Source organism: Homo sapiens, chromosome 12 (genome assembly GCF_000001405.40).
Source record: "Homo sapiens chromosome 12, GRCh38.p14 Primary Assembly".
In the NCBI taxonomy this organism is placed as follows: Eukaryota; Metazoa; Chordata; class Mammalia; order Primates; family Hominidae; genus Homo; species Homo sapiens.
In genome coordinates, this window is record NC_000012.12 from 127,770,120 (window position 1) to 127,775,075 (window position 4,956).

The window sequence follows — 4,956 nt, forward strand, 5'->3', positions numbered from 1 at the left end:
AAATAAATAAATAAAATAAATAAAAATAAAAATAAAATTTTTTTAAAATGAGGAGGAAAGTAGAGGAGAAGATGCTGTATTTGAAAAGCAAATGTATTTTCCCCAACCCCGTGGCTGACTTCCGCTTCTCTCTCCCTGGCTAGAATGTGATAGTGGCATCTGGAAGGCAGCCAGGAAGAGCGTGGTTAGAGATTGAGCATCAGGGCATCCAACGAGCCTCTGATCATCAGAGCCCTGTGCCTGACACATAACGGGCAATTGATAATGTCGCTCTTATTCTTATCACATTTTTACAGGAACGACCTCTTTTCTCTTTCACAGAGTTTCCTGGAAGTGCCCTGCACATCCCTAAGGCATACTTGCTCCATCTATCCTGTCCCAGTCGTCAATACACAATGATGAGTAGAGTCACTTGCAACCTGCTCACACAGCAGCTTTTATCAGCTGAAGCCATTTTTCCCAGTCTTGTCTGGCAATGCTGGACATTAGGGATCATCTACTTGGGTCCAAATGGTTATCAAGGGCTACCTGGAGAAACACATCCTAGAAAAGCTTCCCTAACCCCAGAGGACTGGCCGACCTATGAATAGCAGCTCTAACAGACGCCAGACGGATGCAAACTGCCTGGAGACTCACCTTTAGCCGCTCTGAAATGACACCGACCTTCAAAGGTTGAAATCGGGCACTTTCCATACAAAGGGCAGAGATCGCCGACAGTTTTGCTTTCTTATTATCTGCTTAATTTATACTTTTATTGATTCTTGCCCTCAGACAAACAAGAAGGTTTAAACATGCATGATTGGAAAACTCAAAGAATGCTAGTTTTGTTTGTTTGCCTTTTAGCCATACAAAAGAAAAAAAAAAATCATGGGCTGAGAACATGGAAATCTAAGTTAAAATCCCAGATTTGGGACATATTTTACCCATATGATCTTTGTCAATAATAATAACAGTTGTGATAACAATAATAATTTATCTAAGGTCTACCATGTAGCAGACAACATGCGAAGACATTTACGATCATTATCCCATTCAACAATTGCAACAACCTTATGAGGAATACTCTATTTTTTTTTTCCAAGATGGAGTCTTGCTCTGTCACCCAGGCTGGAGTGTAATGGTGCCATCTTGGCTCACTGCAACCTCCGCCTCCCGGGTTCAAGCGATTCTCCTGCCTCAACCTCCCGAGTAGCTGGGATTATAGACGCCCGCCATCACTCCTGGATAATTTTTGTATTTTTAGTAGAGACAGGGTTTTACCATGTTGGTCAGGCTGGTCTTGAACCCCAGACCTCGTGATCTGCCTGCCTCGACCTCCCAAAGTGCTGCAATTAGAGGTGTGAGCCACCCTGCCTGGCCGGAATACTCTGCTTTTATCTCCATTTACAAATGAGGAGACTGACACTCTGAGAAGGGAAACAGTGGGTCCATTTCCATGCATTGAGAAAGAGATGGAGCACTGCTTTTTAATTCACCTGTGTTCTCCATTTCTCACCACCAGGCCATATTCTGACTGGCCTGTGCCCGTCTTGTAAGCATCTCCTGTACCAACTTCTAATTAAACCCATTAAAACTATTACATTTGCCACATTTCCCTAAGGGTCCAATAAAATCTCTTATTAATTCTTATTTAACATCGTGCAGCATTTAGCTCAATTCTAGCTCTATATTCCAATTCTTTCAACCTCAGAGAAATGACTGCAAAACTCAAATACTTCCCTGTCTGTATTATCATCTGGGAGTTTAGCCAAATAATGTCTTTGGAGCTGAGGGAGATGTGAATCCAAAAACGTCTATTGCTTTGTTTATTTCTACAGAAGACTGAGGAGACTGTTTAAGGAATGTGCCCACCACCAAGGAGGGAAGGGAAGGAGGATTTGAGAGAAAGAGAGAAGAGGAACTAGAGACAGAGGAGAGAGAGGTGGGGAAAAAGGGAGAGAGAGGGAGAGAGAAAGAGGGAGACAGGAAGAGAGAGAGAGAAGAGAGAGGAGGAAGAGGAAGAGGAGAAGAGCAGGAGAGAAGGAATGGATCAAACACCACAATGGAAAGTACACCGCCACCTGTGTATTTTCACAAATCTTTATCATTAGACACCCCAACTCACTGACATTAAGGAAGAAGAAAAACATCAGTGTCTGCAAAGCACATGCAGACAATGAGAAGCTAATGCATGGAGACAACTTGCCATGTGCCTCCCTTCCCTTCCTCCTCGCTGTCTGCTTCATGGGTTCTCTGATCACACGACTCCTGTCCCTGGGGACAGTCCATATTTATCCATCAGCAGCAAAGCCTTTAGAGGTGCTCTGTTTACTTTGAAAACTTCTTCTTAGGACATCCCTGGAGAGAGCCCACTCTTCCTCTGCCGATGACTTTCTACATTAGTATGTAGCAAAACTAGAGATATGGATTCGGGGGTTGTCAGCACAAATGCTATTTAAAGCCATGGGAACAGGTTAGATTACTTGGAGAGTGATACAGTGCCCCATATCCATATTTAGTAATTTCATCCATGCATTTTCTATTTTCCCCAGGAAGGAAACTTCTCCAGGGTAGCATATCCATCATGCAATCCTCCGTACCCTGCAGTGCTTGTCTGAGTCGGGGCCCTCATGGTAAGAAAGGATGTGGAATGGCACATCTGGGTCTGGAACACAGCAGGATGGGAAGTGGGCCAGCTGGCTCATGGCCTCAGCCTAACCAGGGCAAAATATCAGATACGCCCCAATTGAGGGATAGCTATATAATACTTGAGGAACACTCTTCAAAACTTCCAAAGTCTTCAAAAACAAAGTCTGAGAAACTCATAGATAAGAGGAATTGAAGAAGACAGGATGACTAAATTAATGTGGCCTCCTGGACCCCGAAAGAGAAGGACATTAAGCAAAAAGTAAGGAAGTCAGAATAAAGTCTGCACTTTAGTTAATAATAATGTATCAACACTAGTTCAGTAATTGGGCTGGGCACGGTGGCTCGCACCTGTAATCCCAGCACTTTGGGAAGCTGAGGCGGGAGGATTGCTTGAGGCCAGAAGCTCAAGACCAGCCTGGGCAACATACTGGGGCCCCATCTCTACAAAAAACAAACAAATAACAATTAGCTAGGCATGATGGTGTGGGCCTGTGGTATCAACTATGCAGGGAGCTGAGGTGGGAGGATCTCTTGAGCCAGAAAGGTCAAGGCTGCAGTGAGCTATGGTTGCGCCACTGCACTCCAGCCTGGGTCACAAAGTGAGATCCTGCCTTCAAAATAAATCAATACATAAACACTATTTGTTCAGTAATTGTAACAAATGTACCTTGCTAATGTAAGATGTTAATAATGGGGCAAACAAGTGCATGGGTACCTTCTAAATTTTTCTATAAATCTAAAACCGTTCTAAAAATATATTATTGGGGGAAACAAGAAAGCTAGGCCAATTAGGTCCTGCTTGGGGTTCTGTCCTATCTGGGCACTGAAATATTAGAAATATGATGTGAGGGAGTTCAGATTTTAAACACCTGTTGGGGAATACAAATGAGTTCTGTCCCCATCAAAGCAGACAGAGCCCTCCAGTGGACACTGAAAACGTTCTCGAGCAGCACGGGTCTCTGCTCATTTGTGTTTCTGTGACACTCACCTGCAGGCTGACTGGAGCCAATACACCCCACAGACACAAGAATCAGGCCAGCTGGCCATCGCCTGCAGCAAACGTCAACGTCTGGTGATCCAAACCCCAATCATGACATGTAGTTTAACAGGAATGAGTTGTTCCTTTTACATCAAATTACCAACTTAGACAGCCTTTAAAATTTCCCCCATTCAATTCTTTACCAAATTCTACTAGTTGCAGCTTAAATATAGATGTAGATGGTCCACACCTCACCATGTCCATCAGCACCCATCTGGTCCACACCACCATCTACCCTCCTATCTGAACAATTGCAAGAGTCCCAATTGCCCCCAGATCCTCTCATGCCTCTACCAGAGCAATCCTCCTACAGAATACATCAGACTTTGCCCCTCCACTTAAACATCATCAACATCCATTGCACCGGGAACAAAATTTGCAAATAAAGAATCCCAAGAGTGTGTGATGGACCCCAGCTCACACACCACCTCCACCCTCCATCTCCTGCCCCTTCCTCTTGCTCACTGTGCACAGTCTCAGGGTTACTCACTGGAGACAAAGCAACAGTCAGCCTTCAGGAAAGGGGACCTCCTTTCAGACGCCTTCACGTAAGAAGGTCCAAAATCCTAGCTAAGCACACAGACTTGATTAGCATTGCTGATTGACTCTGAGAAGAAAGCAACATTTGAGGGGAAAGCTTGTTTTCGGCCATTTCAGGAAGACACGTGTGGGTCACAGGTAGGACGGCGGTGACAGCTGCCAGCGCACGTGGCATAAGAGCCACCGAGTTGTGACGCTCCTGAGCCATTCATCAGCCCTGGCAGCAGGACGTTGATGTTGATGAAGCAGCAAGCATGGGGGGAGGAATGAAAGATGCTCCCGTGCCTCCGCCTTGGCGCCGTCTTCCCTCCACACGCCAGGGCAGGGGAGCATCTGCCTCCTCAGGTGACACGGACGCTGCTCCCTGGCTGAGAGATGAATTATAGACAGATTGAAGACACTCCCTTTAGGGATGATGCTCTTCCTCACCCCCACCCATAATGCAAAATTAATATGAGGAGGGGTGAATGCAAATCTCTATCCACATGAAGCAGGAAAGAAGCTTTTAAAATAACATTCACCTGGGAAGGAAGCATTGCATCATGTGGAGTTGCTTAATAAACCTCAAGAAAAGCTCCCAAGAGCAGAGAGGGGCACTTGGCAGGGCCCCTGTTGACTCACAGAATATCCAGGAACAGCCTCCATCGGCTGCCCTTTCCCGAGCACTGGGGGCTTACCAGCGTGGGGAGGGCCTGGAGGACGAGCGTGGGCTGCTTCTCCCTTCATACTTTTGACTCCCTCTGCCCTTT

At 45.6% G+C, this 4,956-nt stretch overlaps 2 annotated features.

The window, feature by feature from the left end:
• Positions 3,919 to 4,438: an enhancer, noted in NCBI's record as "H3K4me1 hESC enhancer chr12:128258583-128259102 (GRCh37/hg19 assembly coordinates)". NCBI's record gives its function as "activates a minimal SCP1, AML or CMV promoter by ChIP-STARR-seq in primed H9 embryonic stem cells {active_cell/tissue: H9 hESC(primed)}" and the evidence as "EXISTENCE:reporter gene assay evidence [ECO:0000049][PMID:30033119]".
• Positions 4,439 to 4,956: an enhancer, noted in NCBI's record as "H3K4me1 hESC enhancer chr12:128259103-128259620 (GRCh37/hg19 assembly coordinates)". NCBI's record gives its function as "activates a minimal SCP1, AML or CMV promoter by ChIP-STARR-seq in primed H9 embryonic stem cells {active_cell/tissue: H9 hESC(primed)}" and the evidence as "EXISTENCE:reporter gene assay evidence [ECO:0000049][PMID:30033119]".